At 43.0% G+C, this 26,486-nt stretch overlaps 1 protein-coding gene and 2 pseudogenes across 2 annotated transcripts in view, besides 1 other annotated feature; all 3 read right to left on the bottom strand.

Moving 5' to 3' along the window:
* The window catches only part of STAG1 (STAG1 cohesin complex component), a 416,143-nt gene that overhangs the window by 375,036 nt on the left and 14,621 nt on the right, over positions 1-26,486 (bottom strand). The window lies entirely within an intron of this gene.
* Positions 10,123-10,224, bottom strand: RNU6-789P (RNA, U6 small nuclear 789, pseudogene; annotated as a pseudogene).
* Positions 12,816-13,442: an enhancer, noted in NCBI's record as "NANOG-H3K27ac hESC enhancer chr3:136442929-136443555 (GRCh37/hg19 assembly coordinates)". NCBI's record gives its function as "activates a minimal SCP1, AML or CMV promoter by ChIP-STARR-seq in naive H9 embryonic stem cells {active_cell/tissue: H9 hESC(naive)}" and the evidence as "EXISTENCE:reporter gene assay evidence [ECO:0000049][PMID:30033119]".
* On the bottom strand, positions 25,025-25,984 carry DNAJC8P2 (DNAJC8 pseudogene 2; annotated as a pseudogene).

The following is a 26,486-nucleotide window of genomic DNA, read 5'->3' on the forward strand; positions in this document are numbered from 1 at the left end:
ACTTAGGGGGAGAAATTAATGCAGTGATTCTAAAATGTACATGGAAATGCAAAAGAACAGACTAGCAAATCTTTAAAAAGAACAAGCTGGGCAGCCTGAGTAACATAGGGAGCTCTCGTCTCTACAAATAATTTTAAAAATTAGCCAGGCATGGTGGCTCACACCTACGGTCCCAGCTACTCGGGAGGCTGAGACAGGAGGATCGTATAAGCCCAGGAGGTCAAGGCTACAGTACACTGTTATCACGCTACTGCACGCCAGCCTGGGAAACAGAGCGAGAGCATGTTTCAAGGAAAAAAAAAAAGGATACTTATTCTACAGGATATTTAGATTTATTTTATTAAGCTCAATAAATGAGGCAGTGATATTGGTACAAGGCTAGACAGACTAATGTAACAGGATAAAGGCCCAGACACATAGCATGCATCTATGGACATGACTTATGAAAACACAACACTCCAGAGTGATGGCAAAAGTTTTTTTGTTTGTTTATTCATAAATGGTGCTGGAACAACTGGATATCCATTTGAAAAAAAAATAAAACTTGACCTAAAAACTACACACACACAAAAATCTATTCCAGGTGAATTACATATTACATATCTAAATGAGAGAAGTAAATAAAATTTATAGATGATGTGAATAACTCCATTACCTCCAAGGAAGAAAAAAAATTTTAAAACAGAACACAAAAAAGCACTGTTTAACGGAAAAAAACCTGACGTATGTACCTATTCAGATAACTTTTTTTGTTTGTTTGTTTTTGAGATGGACTCTTGCTCTGTCGCCAGGCTGGAATGCAGTGGCATGATCTCGGCTCACTGCAACCTCTGCCTACCCAATTCAAGCGATTCCCCTGCCTCAGCCTCCTGAGTAACTGGGATTACAGGCGCACGCCACCACACCCAGCTAATTTTTTGTATTTTAGTAGAGACAGAATTTCATCACATTAGCCAGGATGGTCTCGATCTCCTGACCTCATGATCCAACTGCCTCGGCCTCCAAAAGTGCTGGGATTACAGGTGTGAGCCACCGCACCCAGCCTACAGAGAACTTTTCTGCACCAAAAGATACCATATAAAAAGGCACCACAGGCAAACTACAGAATGGGAGAAGACATAAGTAACCTACTTAAACTGACAAATGCCTTATATTAAGAATATATAAAAAGCTCCTATGAATCAAAATATGCATTAATTAAAAATAAAAATAGATAAGTGATGAGAACAATCACTTCACAGAATAGGACATCAAAATGGTCAGCACTGAGATGCTCAAACTCATTAGTAGCCAGAGATAGTGCAAATTAAAGCCATCAAAAATGGCTACAATTTTAAAAGATTGGCAATAATGTGCACTCAGGAGAATATAAAAGGGAATTCTCACATGCTGCTGTTGGAAGAAAAGTTCAGTAAAACCACTCTGGAAAACAATTTGGCCTTTTCTACTAACAACATACCTTATGACCAAGAGATTTCGATCTTAGATATATATCCAACAGAAATGGCTTCACATGTGCATTAAAAAACACATATGAGGCCGGGCACGGTGGCTCATGCCTGTAATCCCAGCACTCTGGGAGGCTGAGGCAGGTGGATCACCTGAGGTCAGGAGTTTGAGACCAGCCTGGCCAACATGGCGAAACTTCATCTCTACGAAAAATACAAAAATTAGCCAGGCACAGTGGCGGGTGCCTGTCATCCCAGCTACTCAGGAGGCTGAGGCAGGAGAACCACTTGGAACCCGGGAGGCAGAGGTTGCAGTGAGCCAAGATTGCGCCACTGCACTCCAGGCAGGGCAACAAAAGCAAAACTCCGTCTCAAAACAAAACCACAAGAGTGTTCTCAGCAGTAATACTTACAATGGTCCCAAACTAAAAATAATGTAATATCCATCAAGAATAGAATGGATAAATGTGGCGTAATCACACAAGTATATAGTTCCTAAAAATGAACTACGGGTCCCACAACATGGATGAATCTCACAAACAATGCTGAGCCAAGGAAGCAAGACACAAAAAATAGTGTGCAGCCAAGCATGGTGGCTCACTCCTGTAATCCCAGCACTTTGGGAGGCCAAGGCGGGACAATCACTTGAGGTCAGGAGTTCAAGACCAGTCTAACCAACGTGGTAAAATCCCGACTCTACTAAAAATGCAACAATTAGCCGGGCGTGGTGGTGCATACCTGTAATCCCAGCTACTCGGGAGGCTGAGGCAGAAGAATCGCTTGAATCCGGGAGGTGGAAGTTGCACTGAGCCGAGATCATGCCACTGCACTCTAGCCTGGGAAACAGAGCGAAACTCCACCTCAAAAAAAAAAAAAAATACACTGTGGGGAAGCACGGTAACTAGCATTTGTAATCCCAACACTTTAGGAGACTGAGGCAGGAGAATCACTTGAGGCCAGGAGTTAGAGACCAGCCTGGGCAATATAGCAAGATCCTGTCTCTACAAAAAATTTATAACTTGGCTGGGCGCTGTGGCTCAAGCCTTTAATCCCAGCGCTTTGGGAGGCCACAATGGGCAGATTACCTGAGGTCAGAAATTTAAGACCGCCCTAGCCAACATGAAGAAACCTCGTCTCTATTAAAAATACAAAAATTAGCTGGGCATGGTGGCAGGCACCTGTAATCCCAGCTACTCGGGTGCCTGAGGCAGGGAGAATCACTGGAACCCAGGAGGCAGAGGTTGCAGTGAGCCAAGATCGTGCCGTTGCACTCCAGCCTGGGCAACAGAGCAAGACTCTCTCTCAAAAAAAACAAAAAAAGAACAAAAAATTGAAAATTAGCAGGGCAAGGTGGCTCATGCTCAGGAAGAACCACTTGAACCCAGGAGGTGGAGGCTGCCCAGAGCCATGATTGCATCACCGCACTCCAGCCTGAGAAACAGAGCCTGCACTCCCGTCTGAGCAACAAAGCAAGGCCCTACCCCCCAAAAAAGTGTAATTTCATCTATGTGAAGCTCAAAAACAGAACGTCAAACCACAGTATTTAGCAATAAAGACTTAGGGTGTGAAAATATTTTTTAAGAACAAGAGAACTGGCCAAGCACAGTAGCTCACACTTGTAATCTCAGCACTTTGGGTCACCAAGGCAGGAGGATCGTTTAAACCTAGGAGTCTGAGAATCCTGGCAACGTACCGAGAACTCATCTCTAGGAAAAATAAGAAAATTAGGCCGGGCGTGGTGGCTCACGCCTGTAATCCCAGCGCTTTGGGAGGCCGAGGCAGGTGGATCACGAGGTCAGGAGATCAAGACCATCCTGCCTAACATGATGAAACCCCGTCTCTACTAAAAATACAAAAAATTAGCCGGGCGTGGTGGCGGGCGCCTGTAGTCCCAGCTACTTGGGAGGCTGAGGCAGGAGAATGGCATGAACCCAGGAGGCGGAGCTTGCAGTGAGCCAAGATCGTGCCACTGCACTCCAGCCTGGGTGACACAGCGAGACTCCGTCTCAAAAATAAAAATAAATAAATAAATAAAATAAATTAGCTGGGCATGGTGGCACATGCCTATATTCTCAGCTACCTGGGAGACTGAGATGGCAAGATCACTTGAACCTGGGAGGTCAAGGCTGCAGTGAGTCATGATTATGCCACTGCACTCCAGCCTGGGCAAAGGAGCAAGCCCCATCTCAAAAAAAAAAAAAAACAAATATATATATTAAATATATATATATATATATATATATATTTTATATATATATTTTTATATATATATTTTATATATATAATATATATATAAAATATATATATAAAATAAAAGTCAAGATAATTGTTCTTTTAGAGGAAAGGGAGGGTACCGTATGAAATACAAAGGGGCGCACAGTAAGAGAGTTCGGTGGTGCTGACATTCTGGTTCTTGACCCAGATAAAATTTGTGTATGTGGGGTTTTTTAACTTTTTTTTTTTTTTTAATTTAAATAGAGACAGGGTCTTGCTATGTTACTCAAGCTAGTCTCAAACTCCAGGGCTCAAGTAATCCTTTCGCCACAGCCTCCCAAAGTGTTGGGATGACAGGTATGAGCCACTGCACCAGGGCTAGTTTGTGTTTATAATAATTATTTAGGCCCGGTGCAGTGGCTCACGCCTATTATCCCAACACTTTGGGAGGCCAAGGCAGGCGGATCATGAGGTCAGGACATGGAGATCACCCTGGCTAACACAGTGAAACCACGTCTCTACTAAAAATACAAAAAATTAGCCAGGCATGGTGGTACACACCTGTAGTGCCAACTACTTAGGAGGCTGAGGCAGGAGAATTTCTTGAACCCGGGAGGCAGAGGTTGCAGTGAGCCGAGATCACACCACTGCACTCCAGCCTGGTGACAGAACAAGACTCCATTTCAAAAAAGAAAAAAATTTTTAAGCAGTATATTTATATCTAATTAACTTTATGTGTTTTATTTCACAATAAAAGGGAATTGTGAAAAACGTTTTTACAAAAGGCAAATAAATGGGAAAAACCTACCAGACATTATCAATAACTACTGTAGTTTTTTTTTTTTAAAGTATGTATAAAACATATATATAAACTGAAATGATGGCCAGGCACAGTGGCTCATGCCTGTAATCCCACCACTTTGGGAGGCCAAGGCAGGCAGATCACCTGAGGTGAGGAGTTCGAGACCAGCCTGGCCAACGTGGCAAAACGCTGTTTCTACTAAAAATAAAAAAAATTAGCCAGTGTAGTGGTGCATGCCAGTAGTCCCAGCTACTCAGCAGGCTGAAGCAAGAGAATTGCTTGAACCTGGGAGGTGGAGATTGCAATGAGCCACGATGGCGCCACTGCACTCCAGTGTGGGCGACACAGAGAGACTTCATCTCAAAAAATAATAATAAAAATTAAAAACATAAATTGAATTTTCATGGTTCACTTTTCATGGTTCATCTCACTTAAGTCATGGCGGGCACAGTGGCTCACACCTGTAATCCCACCACTTTGGGAGGCTGAGATGGGTGGATCACCTGAGGTCAGAAGTTCAAAACCAGCCTGACTAACATATAGTGAAACCCCACCTCTACTAAAAAAAAATACAAAAATTAGCCAGGCATGGTGGCGGGTGCCTGCAGTGCCAGCTACTCGGGAGGCTGAGACAGTAGAATTATTTGAACCCTACAGGCAGCGGTTGCAGTGAGCCGAGATCACGCCACTGCACTCCAGCCTGGGCGACAGAGCAAAACTCCATCTCAAAAAAGAAAAAAAAAGAAAAAAAGAACTACATTCCTGCCAGGCACGCTGGCTCATGCTTGTAATGCCAACACTTTGGGAAGCTGAGGCAGGAGGAGCTCTTCAGGCCAGGAGGCTGAAGGTGCAGTGAGCCATGATGGCACCAATGCACTTCAGCCGGGACAACTAAAGTGAGACCCTGTCTCTTTAAAAAGAAACAAACAAAAAACTCTATATTCTAATTAGCTAACCAATCCAATTATCAAAGTAACCTCTAACATTTCAGTGCTTTAAAAAAGGAGAGCAAAAACAACTGCATTCCCTCCCTGATAAGACAACTGCCCACAGTGGAAAGTATACCATGGTGGTAAAAAGAAGCATAAACTTTCCAATTAAAGCTGCACTAACTAATTGTAAGACTTTCTGCAAATTACTATATTTTTCCAAGCCTAGTTTCCTCATATATGAAGTGAGGATAACAATACATATCTTCTGTAAATTACTTCACAGTTACGAATTGTGGTTTGGAATGATAACAACAACATATACCACCATCATTGTCACAGGGATCAAATGGGAATTTACATAAATGGTTTATAACAGCAACGTGTACACAGCAACACTTAATCGTTTTTGTCTGTTCTATTTCTCTTTGCTCTTCTTTGTAAATGCATACTGCATAAAACCACAAGGTATTGTTAACCCTGCCTCAACACCTATTCCCACCACCAAAAGAAATCTACACACACTTAACCTTCTCATTATCTTATGATATTATAATATCCCTATTTTATATATGGACTGAGGCTCAAAAAAGCAGAGCTGCCTATATAGATCAGACATAGAACAAAATCAAAGCCAAGATTTACTATAAACAGTTATTGATTTTGGTGTTAAAAGCATTTTGTTACTAATGAGAAATCAATTCTAAATAATATGGAGGTCGGGTGTGGTGGCTCATGCTTGTAATCCCAGCACTTTGGGAGGTCGAGGCAGGTGGATCACTTGAGACCAGGAGTTTGAGACCAGCCTGGCCAACATGGCAGAATCCTATTTCTACTAAAAATACAAAAATTAACCGAGTGTGGTGACAGGCACCTGTAGTCTCAGCTACGTGGGAGGCTGAGGCAGGAGAATCACTTGCACCCAGGAGGTGGAGGGTGCAGTGAGCGGAGATCGTGCCATTGCACTCCAGCCTGGGCAACAAGAGTGAAACTCTGTCTCAATAAATTAATTAATACGGAAAAAAATTGTAGTTTTCAGAAAACAACACAGAAAAGAGATGATGGATCTCAGACTATCCAGTGAGATCCATAATCCAAACAAGGAATCACGTATGGAAAGTAAAATTTAGAATTTAATTTTAAAGCAATTGGATTTCTAATGCAAATGATAGAAATAATTCCTCTAAAGCAGTAATAAAATGAATTCAAATTGGACCTCATCCCATGTTCTAAAGCTATTTATTCTCATGTAAATGGACCAAATGAAAACATCCTCTCAGCCTCCACACCCTCAAAATTTTGTTATAATCTTTTTCTGATAGAAGGGGAGGAAAGCACAGGACCTAAAATCCCTAAAGAGATTTCTTTAAAACATATACACACACAGACTCGTGTATTTACTGTAAAAAACCACTCCAAAATATTTCCATTTTTAAACAAAGGTAAAAAGAAATTGAAATTTTTATTTCTGTATCTCACTAATCAAAAGTAACCAATTCTTAGTAAAGAATTATTATGGAAGGCTTTAGATGTGATAATGGGAATATATTTATCTTTACGATATTGGGGAGAAGAGTCTAGGTATGAGTATAGATGAAACAAAACTGGAATGAGTGAATTTTGAAGCTGGGTAAAAATTATGTGAGGAGGCAATAAACTATTTTGTCTTCATCTGTATTGTATGAAATTTTCCATAATTAAAAGTTTTTTTAATAATTAATAATACATTTTTACACTGTTCTAAGGAGTGTCTTTAAGTGAAATTTTCAAGCAATCATGCTCACCTGGTAGAAATCTAGGTTTTAATCATTAAACATTACATTTTTGCATGTGACATACTTGTATTTTATTATTTTTTACTAGCTGGAATAGAATCCTGTGATGCTATCTATGATTCTTCTTCTATGGTAACAGCTAATGTCATGTGATACTGAATTCTAATCAAATAGTTATCTTAAATATTCAGATAAATAGAGGTGGCCAGGCGTGGTGGCTCATGCCTGTAATCCCAGCACTTTGGGAGGCCAAGGTGGGTGGATCACATGAGGTCCGGAGTTTGAGACCAGCCTGGCCAACATGGCAAAACCCCATTTCTACTACGAATACAAAAAAATTGGCCAAGTGTGGTGGGGGGGGCCTGTAATCCCAGCTACTCGGGAGGCTGATGCAAGAGAATCACTTGAACCTGGGAGACGGAGGTTGCGGTGAGCCAAGATCACGCCACTGCACTCCATCCTGGGTGACAGAGCAGGGCTCTACCTCAAATAAAAAAAAGGCAGGCAGGGAGGGGGCAAAACAGTACAACCATTCTGGAAAACAATTTAGCGGTTTCTTAAAATATTAAACATAAATTTACTACATGACCGAGCAATTCCAATCCTAGGTATCTGCCAAAGAGGAATGAAACATATGTCTACACCAAGACTTGTAAATGAATGTTCACAGCATTATTCACAACAGCCAAATGTTTGAAACTCAAATGTCCATGAAGTAAACAAATTAATAAAATGAAGAACTCTTCAAAATACAAGAAAGTATTGAAACATGCCTTAACATGGATTATCCTCAAAAACATTGCTAAATAAAAGCCAAACATAAGAGCATATAAATGATTCCAATTTTATGAAATGTCCCAAAAAAGCATATCTATAGAGACAGAAAATAGATTAGTAGTACCCTAAGATTAGAAAATGAGAAATGACTACAAATGGGCACAGATTTTCTTCTTTGGGGGGTGATAGAAGTATTCTGAAATTAGGTAGTGTTGGCTACATAGTTTTCCAAATTAACTAAACATCACTGAATTGTACACTTAAAATGGGAGAATTTTATGTTATGTAAATTATACCTCAACGTATCTGTCAAGGAAAAACAGAAAAGCAAGGAGCGGCAGCACTACAGTGCCTCTGGGATGATAAGTGGGTAGATGGGTGGATGGATGGGTGGGTGGGTAGGTGGGTGGCTGGGTAGGTGGGTAGGTGGGTAGGTGGGTGGGTGGGTAGGTGGGTGGGTGGGTGGGTGGGTGGATGGATGGATGGATGGATCGATCTCAAAAAAGTAACTTGCTCCAAAGTTTCAGCTAAATACTTGACAGGGCAATCTAGGATGGACTGCAAAATCCATACTCTTCCTAGATGCAAAAGCAAGAATGCACTAGAAGCAATATATATCTCACTCAACTTTGTAAGGATAAATCCAATCCACAAGTGGCTCTTTTAAAACTGAAGTGAGTCCGGGAGCGGTGGCTCATGCCTGTAATCCCAGCACTTTCGGAGGCCAAGGCGGGCAGGTCACCTGAGGCCAGGAGTTCGAGACCAGCATGACCATTACGGAGAAATCCCATCTCTAGTGAAAATATAAAATTAGCTGGGCATGGTAGTGCATACTTGTAATCCCAGCTACTCGGAAGGCTGAGGTAGGAGAATCGCTTGAACTCGGGAGGCAGAGGTTGTGGTAAGCTGAGATCGCGCCATTGCACTCCAGCCTGGGCAACAAGAGCGAAATTCCGTCTCAAAAAAAAAAAAAAAAAAATCTTAAGTGAACACTGAGCATTAAATTAAGAAGAATGAAACAAGATAAACCATCTGTGTGGAATGAACAAAGTAAATACATAAAATCCAAAATAGGTGGCATGGGAAGCAGAACCCAGATCTTGTAAATGATTATATCAAGCTGAAACCAAATTAACTCAATGGTGAGGAGTATTCAAACAAATTAAATTTGGCAGTTTGTCTCCAACACAGTCCCAGGAGAATGTGTCCTGACCCAGATCTGCTATAGTGAAGACAGATTTATCAAGCTATCTGAGCTCAATAACAGTCACAACTAAAATGAACCAACTTGGGCTGAGCACGGTGGCTCACACCTGTAATACCAGCACTTTGGGAGGCCGAGGCAGGCAGATCACCTGAGGTCAGGAGTTCAAGTCCAGCCTGGCCAACATGGCAAAACCCTGTCTCTACTAAAAATACAAAAATTAGCTGGGCATAATAGCTGGCGCCTGTAATCCTGCTACTCGGGAGGTTGAGGCAGGAGAATCACTAGAACTCAGGAGGCGGAGGTTGCAGTGAGCCAAGATTGTGCCATTGTACTCCAGTCTGGGTGACAGAGCAAGATTCCATCTCAAAAAAAAAAGAAAAAGAAAAAGAAAAGAAATCTGTGGATGTACAAAATGTCCCCCCAAAAGAACTACCACTTATATTCATATTTCATAGTTTACAGAGCACTGTTAACATTAGCTCATTTGCTAGCCAATATGCTCTGAGATGACACAGACATACCTATTTATTACCAATACAAGTGACGCAGAGAGGTAAAAGTAATTTACAGAAGCACATGATGCTAATAAATTGACTAATCTGGATTAGAATCCAAGTCATTCTCCGAATCCAGCAGTTCCTTCCTTAGACATTGGAAGTGTATAAAAGGTCAACCAAATAAAACCAAGAAAGCCTGAGCTGCCAGGAAAATCAATGATTATTTTTCTGCAGTCTTATAAAGCAGTCAGAGAAAGTCTTCAAAAAAGATAATAAGCTTACAGACAAGAGATCAAGATAGGACACAATAAAGAGAAACGCTCAGAATTTGGATAAAAAAGGGAAATAGAAGATTTAAAAATAATACTGAAGGCAGTATAACAGAATCAAATAGTTCAATTTGGAACTAAGTAAATCATTTTAATTTTATATGTAAACGAAAATAATGAAGCCCCTTATCTTAGAATCTTGTTGAATATCTAATACTCTTTTTACATTATTTTTTTCTTAGTACAGAGGCCATGCTAATCTCTATATGGTTCCCATTTTAGTGTATGTGCTGCCAAAGTGAGCACTCTTTTTACATTATTTATCAAAAGAAATGAAATAAATTGCTTACAGATCAGAAGGGGTGAAGTTAAATAATTTGGTTCCATTATAAAAGTGGTATTAAGAATTACACTATGGGGCCGGGCGCGGTGACTCTCGCCTGTAATCCCAGCACTTCAGGAGGCTGAGGCGGGCGGATCACGAGGTCAGGAGATGAGGCCGAAGTGGGTGAATCACAAGGTCAGGAGATCAAGACCATCCTGGCTAACACGGTGAAACCCTGTCTCTACTAAAAATACAAAAAATTAGCCGGGAGTGGTGGCGGGCACCTATAGTCCTAGCTACTCGGGAGGCTGAGGCAGAAGAATGGCATGAACCCGGGAGGCAGAGCTTGCAGTGAGTGCCACTGCATTTCAGCCTGGGCAACAGAGCTAGACTCCATCTCAAAAAAAAAAAAAATTACACTATGGGGCTAGGTGTGGTGGCTCACACCTGTAATCCCAGCACTTTGGGAGGCCAAGAAGGACAGATCGCTTGAGCTTCCAAGTTTGAGACCAGCCAAGGCAACATGGTGAGACCCCATCTCTAATAAAAATACAAAAAAATAGCCAGGCATGGTGGTGCACACCTGTGGTAACAGCTACTTAGGAGGCTGAGATGGGAGGATCACCTGAGCCCAGGAAGTTGAGGCTGCAGTAAGCCATGACTGCATTCCAGCCTGGGCAACAGAGCAAGATCCTGTCTCCAAAAAAAAGGAAAAAAAAATGATGTACTAAAATTACCTCATAGTAGCCTCACTAAAATTACCACAAAGATATATCTTTCCGTTTTTGTCCTAAAATTTATACTTTAGTTTTCTGTATGCCTCCAAGCAACATGCATCACAAATGTTAAGGTGATGTCTATGTGGTCTCATTTCAAACTTTTTCAACATCTCCCAGAAATAAAATAATAATTAAATTCAAGTTTCACAGTGAACAGATGAGGTCATCTACTGAAAAAGAGAAGGGAAGTGGTAAAGTAAGGGGGCTATAGGAGATTACAAGTTTTTAAGTAACTGTATGAGGAATGAGAAAAAACTAGGAACAAAGGAGAATTACTGGGTAATGCTGAGGGTTCAATTAAGATTGGAGAGCATGACTCTCCCTCTCCCTCTCCCTCTCCCTCTCCCCCTCCCTCTCCCCTCTCCCTTCTCCCCTCTCCCTCTCCCCCCTTTCCCTCTCCCCACGGTCTCCCTCTCCCTCTCTTTCCACGGTCTCCCACTGATGCCGAGCCGAAGCTGGACTGTACTGCTGCCATCTCGGCTCACTGCAGCCTCCCTGCCTGATTCTCCTGCCTCAGCCTGCCGAGTGCCTGCGATTGCAGGCGCGCGCCACCACGCCTGACTGGTTTTCGTATTTTTTTGGTGGAGACGGGGTTTCGCTGTGTTGGCCGGGCTGGTCTCCAGCTCCTAACTGTGAGTGATCCGCCAGCCTCGGCCTCCCGAGGTGCCGGGATTGCAGACGGAGTCTGGTTCACTCAGTGCTCAATGGTGCCCAGGCTGGAGTGCAGTGGCGTGATCTCCGCTCGCTACAACCTCCACCTCCCAGCCGCCTGCCTTGGCCTCCCAAAGTGCCGAGATTGCAGCCTCTGCCCGGCCGCAACGCCGTCTGGGAAGTGAGGAGCATCTCTGCCCGGCCGCCCATCGTCTGGGACGTGAGGAGCCCCTCTGCCTGGCTACCCAGTCTGGAAAGTGAGGAGCGTCTCTGCCCGGCTGCCATCCCATCTAGGAAATGAGGAGCGCCTCTTCCCGGCCGCCATCCCATCTAGGAAGTGAGGAGCGTCTCTGCCCGGCCGCCCATCGTCTGAGATGTGGGGAGCGCCTCTGCCCCGCCGCCCCGTCTGGGATGTGAGGAGCACCTCTACCCGGCCGCGACCCCGTCTGGGAGGTGAGGAGCGTCTCTGCCCAGCCGCCCCGTCTGAGAAGTGAGGAGACCCTCTGCCTGGCAACCGCCCCATATGAGAAGTGAGGAGCCCCTCCGCCCGGCAGCCACCCCATCTGGGAAGTGAGGAGCGTCTCTGCCCGGCAGCCACCCCATCCGGGAGGGAAGTGGGGGTCAGCCCCCGCCAGGCCAGCCGCCCCGTCCAGGAGGGAGGTGGGGGGATCAGCCCCCTGCCCGGCCAGCCGCCCCGTCCGGGAGGGAGGTGGGGGGGTCAGCCCCCCGCCCGGCCAGCCACCCCGTCTGGGAGGTGAGGGGCGCCTCTGCCTGGCCGCACCTACTTGGAAGTGAGGAGCCCCTCTGCCCGGCCAGCCGCCCCGTCCGGGAAGGAGGTGGGGGGGTCAGCCCCCCGCCCGGCCAGCCGCCCCGTCCGGGAGGGAGGTGGGGGGGTCAGCCCCCCGCCCGGCCAGCCGCCCCGTCCGGGAGGGTGGTGGGGGAGTCAGCCCCCCGCCCGGCCAGTCGCCCCGTCTGGGAGTGAGGTGGGGGGGTCAGCCCCCCGCCAGGCCAGCCGCCCCGACCAGGAGGGAGGTGGGGGGGTCAGCCCCCCGCACAGCCAGCCGCCCCGTCCGGGAGGTGAGGGGCGCCTCTGCCCGGCCGCCCCTACTGGGAAGTGAGGAGCCCCTCTGCCCGGCCACCACCCCGTCTGGGAGGTGTACCCAACAGCTCATTGAGAACGGGCCATGATGACAATGGCGGTTTTGTGGAATAGAGGAGGGGAGAAAGGCGGGGAAAGGATTGAGAAATCGGATGGTTGCCATGTCTGTGTAGAAAGAGGTAGACACGGGAGACTTTTCATTTTGTTCTGTACTAAGAAAAATTTTTCTGCCTTGTGATCCTGTTGATCAGTGACCCTACCCCCAACCCTGTGCTCTCTGAAACATGTGCTGTGTCCACTCAGGGTTAAATGGATTAAGGGTGGTGCAAGATGCGCTTTGTTAAACAGATGCTTGAAGGCAGCATGCTCGTTAAGAGTCATCACCACTCCCTAATCTCAAGTACCCAGGGACACAAACACTGAGGAAGGCCGCAGGGTCCTCTGCATAGGAAAACCAGAGACCTTTGTTCACTTGTTTATCTGCTGACCCTCCCTCCACTATTGTCCTATGACCCTGCCAAATCCCCCTCTGTGAGAAACACCCAAGAATGATCAATAAAAAAAAAAAAAAAAAAGATTGGAGAGCATGAATACTTAGTGGCTCCAGTCTGCAAGTTTGTTATTTTCTCCAGCTGTGCTCAGTAGCTCAGAGCCAGGTACACAGAAGTCAGAAAGATGAAGTGATGTGGTTGGGTTTTAGACAAATGCAATGAAAAGACAAAAATGCAAAGCAGATGAACATATTTTGAGAGGTAAACAAGGTTCTCAGCTAGTTAAGAAAATAAAGGCAGGAGGGGATGATACATTGGGACAGAACAGTAATACCAGAGAGCTCTATAAGGCTGAAAAGAGACTGTGAATGTCTGTTCAAAAAAAAACATTAAACCTATGTAAAAAATCATGAATAGGTCTTCTATACCAAAGTATCATTTCTTCTTATTTTAGAAAATGAAATGCTCCTGGCTGACAATTCAAATTGTCTTGTTAAAGTGAACTAGAAAGGTTCCAAATGGAAGTAGTCTAATACTTAAAGTATTATAATTGCAAATCTAGATGTTCCTCAACATTTCTGTGTAAATCTAGTGATATTTTTTCCCGTATTTTAAATCAACTAAGGAAGCTTCTAAATTTCTTAGTGAACCTTTACCAAAAATCTTACCCTAAGCAAATGAGTCACTCTATACATCAATATTACCACTCTTCAGTAGGCAAGAACTAGAAAACAAAATTATACGGGTGTGTGTGTGTGTGTGTTTAAAATAAGGTCTTCTGACAAAAGAATTATTTCCTATTTCTAAAATCTGACTAGCTTGACCAATGATCATCAGTTGAGCTATTAACATTGCTGGTTCCATGCATGTTGTGTTTAACTGCTTTCAAAATACTACTCTACAATTTGGCACTGAAAAGTTATTAAGTATGCAGAAAGGCACAAAAAAAATCTGTATTAGCAAGTTAAGTATTAATTATTGCTAGTAATAACGCCAATTCTATGTTTTCTTGCAAAGCAACAGTAAAGTGATGACTTATGGGATATGAGAACAGCCACAAGTAGATGAAGCTGTATTATGTTTTGTTACTGAGACACATGCAGAAGGACAGCCTATCATATGCCACGCAATACAAATAAAGGTAGAAGAAACTGCCATATCCCTGAGAACAGATAAGATTTCAAAGCAATGAATGGCTGGTGTGACCAAGTACAGACAGCATGAGGTTACTGCTTCCTTCCTATTGTACCCTAAAATAGTGTTGTGTCTTCTATTAATAGCAACTCAAATTCAATGAAATAAAATTTTAAAAATCAGAACACTTCATTCCCAGTCTTCCCTACTTTAGGACTGTATCACAAATCACTCAATTATTAGTTAGAAACCTGGAGATCGTCCTTGACTTATCCCTTTCCTCACTTATCTACTCTAACTCCAATACACATACAGAATAAGAACACTTCTCAGTATTATCTCTATTACAACCATCATCCAAGGCACTGTATCTGTCACCTGTACACTGTAACAACCTAACCCTCCCTCTTGCATTCCCCACACCCCACCCACCATCCAATATTCACACAATAGCAAAAGCAAGGGTTCTCAACCTTGCCACTAGTGACATTTTGGGCCAATAGTTGTTTACTGTTCTGTGCATTACAGAAGGTTTAGCAGCATCCCTGATCTCTATCCACTGATGCCAGTAGCATACACCATCATCCCCAGGTCTCTATCCACTGATGTCAGTAGCATACACCATAATCCCTAGGTTTCTATCCACTGATGCCAGCAGCATAAACCATTATTCCCAGTTGTGACAATCAAAAATCTAGACATTGCCAAATGTCCCCTGGGAAGCAAAATCGCCCTCAGTTGAGAACCACTAAGCTAGAAGAATATGTTTTGTTTTGAGACAGTCTTGTTCTGTCACCTGGGCTGGAGTGCAGCAGCACAATCTCGGCTCACTGCAACCTCTGCCTCCCAGGTTCAAGTGATTCTCCTGCCTCAGTCTCCCAAGTAGCTGGGATCACAGGTGTGCGCCACCTTGCCTAGCTAATTTTCGTATTTTTAGTAGAGATGGGGTTTTGCCATGTTGACCAGGCTGGTCTCAAAGTCCTGGCCTCAAGCCATCAATCTGTCTTGGCCTCCAAAAGTGCTGGGATTACAGGTATGAGCCACTGCACCCGTCCTAGAAGAATGTTTTTTAAACATTCCTCTTCTTAAAACTCTCTAACAGCTTCTCATTTCACTTATAATAAAATCTATGAGTCCTAACTATCCCAAATACACCCTACATAATCCAGACTCTGCTTACCTCTCTAACCTCATGCAACACCACTGTACTCTTCCTGCATTATGTTCCCTCTAGTCACTATGGCCTTCTCTGAATTCCTAGAGCCATTTCTGCTAAAAAGATTTATCCTTGCTCTTCCCTGTATCTGGACCATTCTTGCCTAGGTTCTGTACACATCCTCAGCTTAAATTTCACACCCTCAGAGATGCCTTTCCTGGCCTTTTTTAATGTTAAGTACCTCATTATTATCCATCATAACACCTCATTTATTCCCTTCATAGACAGCATTCATCATAATATATGATTATTTTGTTTACATGATACTGTCTCTCATGTAAGAATAAATACCATCTGCCTTCTTTTCCAGTATATAAATGAAATGAAAAATGTATAACTTGGACAGCCTTAAGTAATAGGCGAGCTGGCAGCAGTGATAATCCCAGCACCACCCCAATCTCATTCCCCATCTATGTTTATGATCATTTCCCCTTGAAGTGAAGGGGAGGGGAGGAGAGAGAAGAAAAAGAGCCTAACAAAGCCCTCATCTGTAAAAACATCTTTGCCATATTCTCTGAAGGGTTATATGTGAAGAAAATGGCATGTAATGAATCTAAAGCACTTGAAAGCCTTAATAAAAAGCTTGTATTCAATAAATGATGGCTATGTATTTAAAGCACCAAAAATAATGCCTATAACAGATACTTGAGAAATGACAGTTCTCTCGCCCCTTTAATCTACCACCAGGTTGGCCTGAATATAGTTAAGGATGGAACTCTGTCTCTGAGAGATACTTTCCCCCTTTTGGGTCTCTAGGAACACAACATGCTAGGTGTAACAGGTTAGTTATTCAAATATGTTCTCTAGGGAAAGCGAAATATCCATTAACCAAAGCCAACTCATCACAAAATGACCTGAGAATTACATTTTGTTTCAGTAAGGAAAATAATCATATTATTATTAAATTTTAGAACCTAACTTTAACCTTTGGGAGGAAAAACATCTAGATTATTAACAATATCGGTGTTGGTTATTTAAAAATACCCACCATGGCCGGGAGCGGTGGCTCATGCCTGTAATCCTAGCACTTTGGGAGGCTGAGACGGGTAGATCACCTGAGGTCAAGAGTTTGAGACCAGCCTGGCCAACCTGGTGAAACCCCATCTCTACTAAAAATACAAAAAATTAGCCAGGTGTGGTGGTGGGCAGCTGTAATCCCAGTTACTCGGGAGGCTGAGACAGGGGAGCTGCTTGAACCTGGGAGGCGGAGGTTGCAGTAAGCCGAGGTTGCGCCATGCACTCCAGCCTGGGCAACAAGTGCGAAAGCCCATTTCAAAAAAAAAATCAAAAACAAAAAAACACCACACTGAATACAAGTTTACTTACACTAAATAGTAAATTGAGTCCATGATTAGAATCAAGTAACAAAGGGGAAATAAACTATAAAGTACCACAATACTTTTAGTTAATAATTAGAACAAAATTATTTATCTTAAATTCCTTTTAATGTCTTGTTTCTGAAAGCAGCATGTAAATGCATTTGTGGGTATGGGGAAAATGATAAAGAAGTATAAAGGGAGCATAAAGGAAGCCAGACTGCCAGAGTCTGAATCCCAGATCTTCTAATTACTACCTATATAACCTTTGGAAAGTCAACTAACTTCTCCGTGCCTCAGTTTTTTCATCTGTAAAGAGACTTAGCCCTACCCACCACATGGGGCTATTGTAGGGATTACATGAGTCAATATATACAATATGCTAAGAACAGTAGTTGGCATCTAACACATACTGTTAACTATTATTATATAATGTTATTATGTTCCTGTTAACTATTACTATATTACTTTCTCTTTCTGCATCATTGTGGTTAACAACTACCACACTGGATAGCACAAACAAAAAAATTTCCATCACTGCAGAAAGTTACATTAAACAGCACTATATCAAACTATAGGATAGTTAAAATGCCTGGTGAGATGATGCATATAATCCTCTTCCCTAATTTATTAGGAAGTGCTTAGTAAAAAGCACTCCTAAACCCTAAGTGTTTTTTAATCTAATACTTTGACATGTAACAACAAAGAACTTAGGTTTCATTTCTATTTAACAAAACAAATAAAGGAGGGATGGGAAAGAGAGACAGTCTCTTCTGTAAAGATTCTTTTGTTTTTTTTGAGACAGGATTTCACTCCTATTGCCCAGGCGAGAGTGAAAGGCACGATCTTGGCTCACCGCAGCCTCTGCCTCCCTGGCTCAAGGGATTCTCCTGACTCAGCTTCCAGAGTGGCTGGGACCACATATGCATGCCATCGTGCCTAGCTAATTTGCGTGTGTGTGGTTTTTTTGTTTTTGTTTTTGTTTTTTTGAGACAGGGTTTCACCATGTTGCCCAGGCTGGTCTCAAACTCCTGAGGTCAAGTGATCTGCCAGCCTCAGCCTCCCAAAGTGTTGGGATTACAAGAGTGAGCCACCACGCTCAGCCTAGACAAAGGGATTTATGAATTTAAAATTTCCTGTCTACCCTACATCAAGCTATCCACTAAACTCTCCCTCTTTGTGAATGGTACCATGCTTATAAGAGAATTAATTATATTCAAATACAATTATCAATATATTAAAGCAACTTAAAATATTGTAATATGATTCTTTAACACAGTAAATAAGATCTAGAGGTTAGTCTAACAATTACCCTAATTTTGAAGTACTGAAATTGTACTTTGAAATATCTACAACATCTGTAGTTTTCCTTTTTTTTTTTTTTTTTTTTTTGAGACAGAGCTGTGCTGTCACCCAGGCTGGAGTACAATGACATGATCTCGGCTCACTGAAACCTCCGCCTCCCAGTTTCAAGTGATTCTCCTGCCTCAGCCTCTCGAGTAGCTGGGATTACAGGCATGTGCCTCCACGCCCAGCTAATTTTTGTATTAACATTTTTAGTAGAGACAGGATTTTGCTATGTTGGCCAGGCTAGTCTTGAACTCCTAGCCTCAAGTGATCCACCCACCTCGCCCTCTCAAAGTGCTGAGATTACAGGCATGAGCCACCACGCCAGGCTTTTTTTTTTTTTTTTTTTTTTTTTTTTTGAGACAGAGTCTCGCTCTGTTGCCCGAGCTGGAGTGCAGTAGCGTGATCTCAGCTCACTGCAACCTCCGCCTCCCAGGTTCAAGCAATTCTCCTGCCTTGGCCTCCTGAGTAGCTGGGACTACAGACACGTGCCACTACGCCCGGCTAATTGTGGTTAAGAGACAGAGTCGCCCTCTGTCACCCAGGCCCTCTGTCACTGCAACCTCAAGTTCCTGGGCTCAGGCAATCCTCCCACCACAGCCTCTCAAGTAGCTGGGACTACAGGCCCACACCACCACACCCAATCTGTAATTTAATATGAAAATATTTCTAATTTCTGTTGGTGACAAAATAAGTATTGCTAACACAACTGTGATTTGTTGCCAACATTTGAAATTGAAGGAACTGCTAAATTTCAGTTATAGGTTAGTAAAAATAAAGATGTCATTATTTTGCCATCCAAATTCAAGAACCCAAGGTTTTTTGTTTTAATTGCTTAAGACATTAGACTTTAGAGTCACAAAAACCTGGACTCAACCACTTTCCAGCTATGTAACATTGGGAAAAGGTACTTAACCTCTCTACCTTGCCTGTGAAATAGGAATAATACCTACATAAAACTGCTGTGTTGTTTAATTATTATGCATGTAAGCTACTTGACACCATGTTTGATACATTTTCAATAAATATGTACACTATTATAATCAGAACTATATATAGTTCACAACTCTCACTGTGCATCAGAAACTCAGATTTGGGTTCAGCTGGTCTGGGACAAATCCCAGACACTGCTATAGTTTTAAAGCTGTCAGGTAATTCTAAGGTGCAGCCACTGGCCTAAGGACAAAGTTCAAACACTTTCCTTTGGCACTTCACTCTGCTCATGACTTACAGCTCTGTATTTTAATCACTCTTCCCTAGTCACCCCATGCTCCAAACACAATCAAGTAACACTTTCTGAAGAGGTGGGCTATAGCAATGATTCTTAAACTTCAGCCTACATCAGAATCACCTGAAGACCTGTAAAAACACAGATTGCTCATCCCCAGAATTTCTGAGTTGGCAGGCCTATGGTGAAGGCCAAGAATCTGCATGTCTAACAAGTTTCTAAGTAATGCTGACACCATGGTGCTAGGACCACACTTTAAGAACCACTGGGCTATATATCACAGCTCTGTCCCTTTGCATATATACACTGTACCTTCACCTGAAATGTCATTCTCATCTCCAACATCTACCCTTGTCTGGCTTTCACTTCTCTTTCAAAACTCACATAACAATTCATCTCCTTCAGGAAGCATTTGCTCACTTCAACAAACCACCTCAAGGCATTCATTACCCACTACAAAACTTTACTACAAAAAAAAAAAGCAATACAGAATGTTTATGATACAGTAATGCAAAGGGTGGATATTTGCTGGAATACACAGGTTCTTTTGTAAGAATTAGAAAAAGCACTCTCCTCTGGGCAGGTAAACTAGAAAAAGCTGGAAAAAGCAAATAGAATTTGTCAAGCAGAATAAAATCTGGATTTCAGCCTTCCCCTACCACTTTGGCCAAGTATCTTTAGGCAGGGTACCAATTCTACAACCATTCATGGCAGCCCCGGCACTGTGTGCCACTAAAATACAAAGGCAGAGAGAACACTTAGATCAACCCTGGATGGGAGAAAGAGAGGAGCAATAAGCCTATCAAGTAAAGATTTCCGAAGAAGGTACTACCTAAGTTCTGAGTCTTCATATGCCCCTCCTTGTGTACTTCGGGAAAACAAGAACTGTGCTTCAATGTCTTTATAACCACACTATATGGCTCATTGTAAATGTTCAACAAATGCTTGATGAATGACTCAATGAGCAAAATTACACGAAAACACTTGCTAACCTATCTCTTTTTCATCAAGTATGTAGCAAACACATGCCCACACCTGGCACCAGAAACTATAAGTGCTATCTAAATATCAACATTTTATTTGGCCTGTGCACTTATCAGCTAGTGGAAAGCATAAATTATTCCAATAAACAGACGGGAGGTGTGGAGGCAAAATATCACACCTAGGTCTTCAAAACTAATGACTTTCAAATCAAAAACTGCATTACCTGATAAAGACTTAACTTCATGATTATTTCAACAGGGACTAAAAAAATTACAGGAAATCTTGGAAACCAGCTATCTGGCCAAAGACACTAATTTTAGAGATGAAGAAACTGAGGCCCAGAGAAGTAATCAATCAAAGACACACAGTTAGTGGCAGAGTTATAATTAAAACTCAGATCTCTGGCCCTACACTAGTTTTTGTTCTTCTACACCATGTTGCCTTTGTATCTATAAAATCAAATCTTTTATCCACAACTAAAAAAAAAAAAAAAAAAAAAACACCTTAGTCACAATTTTGTTGTCTGCATCCCAATGGGAGGAAAAAGTAGTAAGCCATCATCTTATTTTGTCTAGAGGTAACTTTCCAACTTTGCTCTTGGTTTCATGCCTAACCTTCTGTGTGCAGAATAATAAAGAAAAAGCTAAGATTCATAAATAATCCTGATAAAGCCATCAAAATTTATCAACTACCAAAGAAGCATTACAATGTCTTTCCAGGATGCAGCACTTTTCTGAAGAAAGAAAAGGAGCCTAATTTCCGAAATATGTTTACTAAAAAGCAGAACACGCTGGTGATAACCTTCATCTCTCAATTAACCAGAGTACCTTATCATCTGACCATTCTCATTAATAAATTTTTTGTTTTTGAGACAGAGTCTTGCTCTGTCACCCAGGCTAGAGTGCAGCGGCGCAATCTCAGCTCACTGCAACCTCTACCTCCCAGTTTCAAGTGATTCGCCTGCCTCAGCCTCTCAAGTAGCTGGGATTACAGGTGCCCACCACCATGCCAGGCTAATTTTTGTATTTTCAGTAAAGACGGGGTTTCACCATCTTGGCCACACTGATCTCAAACTCCTGACCTCGTGAGCCACCCACCTCGGCCTCCCAAACTGCTGGGATTACAGGCTTGAGCCACCACGCTCGGCCTCATTAATAAAGTTTTAATCTATTGCTAGCCCTACCTGCTGATGAGAACCAATTAACTAAAATTCTTTGCTTACAGAAAGTAACCTCAGCATTTACTTAGATTACGATATGTCTTTTAAGATAAATGATCTTTGGATCTATGCACAACACAATATAGTCTAGTGGTTAAAACCTAACTTTTTTTTTTTTTTTTTTTTGAGACAGTCTCACTCTGTCACCCAGGCTGGAGTGCAGCGGCATCATCTTAGGTCACTGCAACCTCTGCCTCCTGGGCTGAAGCAATCCTCCCACCTCAGCCTCCAGAGTAGCTGGGACTACAGATGCGAGCCACCATGCCTGGCTAATTTTTGTATTTTTTTGTAGAGACAGGGTTTCGCTATGTTGCCCAGGCTGGTCTCAAACTTCTGAGCTCAAATGATCCACCCACCTCAGCGTCCCAAAGTGCTGGGATTACAGGCATGAGCTACCGTGCCTGGCCAAAGGCTAACTTTTTAACGCACACTGACAGGGAGAAGGGCAACTCCTTTTACTTTTGTATTTGCACTGTTGTGCAGCCCACAACAGTGGAATACTTTTATTATTATTCCCATTTTACAGATGAGAAAACTGAGACTTAGAAAGGTTAAAGAAGTTGCCCAAGTTTACATAGACAGAAACACGCAATTAGAATTTGATACAGTGTGATTCAGGCACCAGGAACTCTCCCAGACAATGGACAATAGATTTCTTAGCCATCTGTCATGTGACAGTGCTTCATCTGTGAACACATGAGATTTTTAACTGTAACTAGCAGCACATGGCATAAACTAAGGCATTGTTTTCCCAACAGTTAATTTAGGCTATAAGAATAAAATAGAACACAGCCTAAAATGTTCAACTTTTATACCTTGGCACTATAAGAATTTCTACACACTTGCAGGCCCGGCACAGTGGCCCACGCCTGTAATCCCAGCGCTTCAGGAGGCCAAGGCGGGCGGATCACAAGGTCAGGAGATCAAGACCATCCTGGCTAACACGGTGAAACCCTGTCTCTACTAAAAATACAAAAAATTAGCCGGGTGTGGTGGCGGGCACCTGTAGTCCCAGCTACTCAGGAGGCTGAGGCAGGAGAATGGCGTGAATCCGGGAGGCAGAGCTTGCAGTGAGCCAAGATTGTGCCACTGCACTCCAGCCTGGGAGACAGTGCGAGAGACTCCATCTCAAAAAAAAAAAAAAACAAAACAAAACAAAAACAAAACAAAAAAAATTTTCTGCACACTTGCCAGTTTGTACTGTCTCTGCTAAAGAATAGGGGCTGACTACCTCTCAGTGCCCCAAATAAGACAGGAAAAATTGTAACCTGATATAATCATGGTCAACTAAGCTTCATGATAAAAGAGAGAGGCAGGTACCTCAAAGGAGAGAACCATGTCAAACTCATGTTTGACTATGTATAAAACATTTCTTTTCTGCCTAAGATTGAGGAGGCAGACAGTAGTGTCTCAAACTACCACCTGGACCTTTAAACCAATTTAACAATTATGAAGAGAAATCTTGCCAAAGAGCCAAAAAACAGTACAGGTAATATTTAACTATTCATGTTATCTTGATTAGAAAATAAAGGGACTCCCCTGAAAAACTCTTCTGACCTATGTTTGTCATTTCCTGACACATAAAAAGGATCTATTGTTACGTGGGGCAGCAGGGGGCACACTGACAGGGAGAAGGGCATCTCCTTTTACTTTTGTATTTTTTATGCTTCCCACCTCCTCCCACCCACATTTCATTAACCCTATTGGTTTGTTTTGTTGCTTTAGGGGTGTTTTTTGTTTTGTTTTTAATCTCTCTCAACAGAATAGAAGCTTTTTAAGAGAAGAACCTACATATTTATCAATTTTGTATACCACTGCCACACATATAATAAGTACTCACAAAATATTTGCTGAATCTTAACTGAAGGATATCCTGCCATTCGTGACAACATGGAAAAACCTGGACATTATGTTAAGTGAAATAAGCCAGGCAAATACCTCATGATCTCACTTACATGTGGAATCTAAACACAGTGAACTCGTCCTCTCCACCAGGCCTGCAGTTTCTGGTCAGAACTCTTGACACTAACCTAGGAACCAAACTCCCCTCAATTATTATTGCACTCTCCAATTCCAGTTTCCATGGTGGGGCAGCTAACTTCCCTTCTTCCTTCCTTCCTACCCTATCTCTCCCTCCTTACTCCCTTTTTTTTTTGGAGATGGACTTCCGCTCTTGTTGCCCAGGCTGGAGTGCAGTGGTGTGACCTCGGCTCACTACAACCTTACAACCTTGACCTCCTGGGTTCAAGCCATCCTCCCACCTCAGCCTCCTGAGTAGATAGGACTACAGGTGGCCAACATCATGCCCAGCTAATTTTTGCATTTTCTGTAGAGACAGGGTCTTGCTATGATGTCCAGTCTGGTCTCAAACTCATGAGCCCAAGCAATCCTCCTGCCTTGGCCTCCTGAAGTGGTGGGATTACAGGCATGAGCCACTGTGCCCAGCCTTGCCTCTGCATTTTTTTTTTCCTTTTTTGACGCAGGGTCTCATTTTGTTGCCCAGGCTAGAGTGCACTGGCATGATCTCAGCTCACTGGAACCTCCGCCTCCTGGGTTCAAGTGATTCTCATGCCTCAGCCACCAAAAGTAGCTGGGATTACAGGCATACACCACCACACCCAGCTAATTTTTGCGTTTTTTTATTTTTTAGTTTGAGACAGTTTCACTTTTGTCTTCCAGACTGGAGTGCAATGGCGCGATTTCTGCTACCTGCAACCTCCAACTCCCGGGTTCAAGCGATTCCCCTGCCTCAGCCTCCTGAGTAGCTGGAATTATAGGGGTTCGCCACCACGCCCAGCTAATTTTTTCTGGGGGTGGTGGGAGGTATAAAAATTTATTATACATAAAGAATATTACCACTAACAAATGCAGACAAGCTAGGACATGGTACTGGGTGGAGGACGGCTAGCTCTTTGGAAAGTGAAAGGTTGGGGTGGCGTAGGCCTCATGCCACGCTGATTGGTCAGTAGACGGGGGCACATGCCAAACACCACAGGGCATCAGGGCATCAGATGCCACTCTGTGTGCCCACAAGTGTTCCCTGTTTCATCTGGGCCTTCAAAGGGAGCACACCCAGAAGCAAGCAACTGAAGCGAAGGGGCTTCCTAAGGTGCCCCTTCCAGGCTTGTCTATGAAGTCACAGCAACATCATTTTAAAAAATATGTTTAACTGTATGAGTTCCACAAACTACCCACGAAGTTTCTAACCATCACAATTCAGTGAAGTACAAAACACTGAGTTACAGGCTGTGGGAAGAGAAGGCAGCACCAATGGCGGCACCTTCTAATCCTGGTTGTTCTAGGGGCAAGGAGAGGGGAAGGCCTTTTTTTAAACCAAGCCCCGCATTTCAATGCACAAAAGAATTACTCTGATCGATATTAAATTGTATTGAAAAAATGGACTGAAAAGCAAATACTACTCTATGTTGGGGTGGAAGTGGGAGGAAAGAATGAGTCCTTCGAAGCAGGAAGGGAGATAGCAGGGGGAAGGTTCTGTGCCTGTGACCCCGGGTGGTCATTCACGCTGCTCCATTTTTACTTTCGGTGGTCTCAGGAAGGTCCGATTTATCTTCTCTTTCTTCCCCTTTGTATTGGCTTGGAAGTTTCGCCAGCTGTCCACACAACCATCTCGACTTTCCTCAAAGTTTTTCTGCCACTCTCTTTCCCGTTTGGCTTTTTCTTGAGCTTCAATCTCTTCTCCCCTTTGTCGTTTCCTTTCAGCATCTCTTTGGCTTCTCTCTCTTTCCTTTTAATTTCCAGCTCAGCAAAGAGTTTCATTGTCTGTTTATATACAGCTTGTTTGAACAGCTCAGGATCATCCTCCTCTACAATTGTAGGTTTTCCTTCCTTCTTTGTTTTTTTCGCTCTTTCACAGTGTGGTCAACGTATTCTTTTCCTGCCTGAATTACATCCAGGGTCCTCTTCTTTTGCTCCTGATCTAGTAGCAACTTGTAAGCTTTGTCCACAGCCTCAAAAGCCTTTTGTGCTCTGTCAGCATCATCTTGATTTTTGTCAGGATGCACCAAGATGGATAACTGCCGCTTTTTTATTTCTTCATCTGTAACTTCAGGATCTGAAGAACCTCAAATGGGGTGAAACTGAAGTAAGAGGAACCAGGACAGGTCAGTCTTTCAATCTGATTTTTTCACGTTAGAACCAAGTCTCTCTTCTCTATTTGTTTCACCTCACTGTAGAAGGTCATAAATGCTGCCTCCGCCACACGAAGTCCCGCTCTCTCCTGAAGCCGCCACTTCCCCAGCCCAGCCACCACGTGACCCCCATGCCCAGTTAATTTTTTGTATTCTTAGTAGAGATGGGGTTTCACTATGTTGGCCAGGCTGGTCTCCAACTCCTGACCTCGTGATCCACCCACCTCAGCCTCCCAAAGTGCTGGGATTACAGGCGTGAGCCATCATGCCGGGCCAATTTTTGCATTTTTAGTAGAGACAGGGGTTTCGCCATGTTAGCCAGACTGGTCTCAAACTCCTGACCTCATGTGATCCTCCCGCCTCAACCTCCCAAAGTGTTGGGATTACAGGCATGGGCCATCATGCCAGGCCTTGCCTCTGCATTTTATGTTCACTTTTTCAACTTCTACCTAGTCTGCCTTTTTCACCATACTACCTCTTGCTTCCTGGCTTTCAGTTAATGATACCGCTTACTATATTCAACAAATATTTGTTAGCCCTTACTGTGTCAGAATCTATTCTAGGTAGCAGTATAAAGGAGGCAGATAAGTTCTCTCATCACAGAGCTAACATTCCAGAGGGAAGAAATAGA

The sequence above is a fragment of the Homo sapiens genome, chromosome 3 (assembly GCF_000001405.40).
Source record: "Homo sapiens chromosome 3, GRCh38.p14 Primary Assembly".
NCBI lineage: Eukaryota > Metazoa > Chordata > Mammalia > Primates > Hominidae > Homo > Homo sapiens.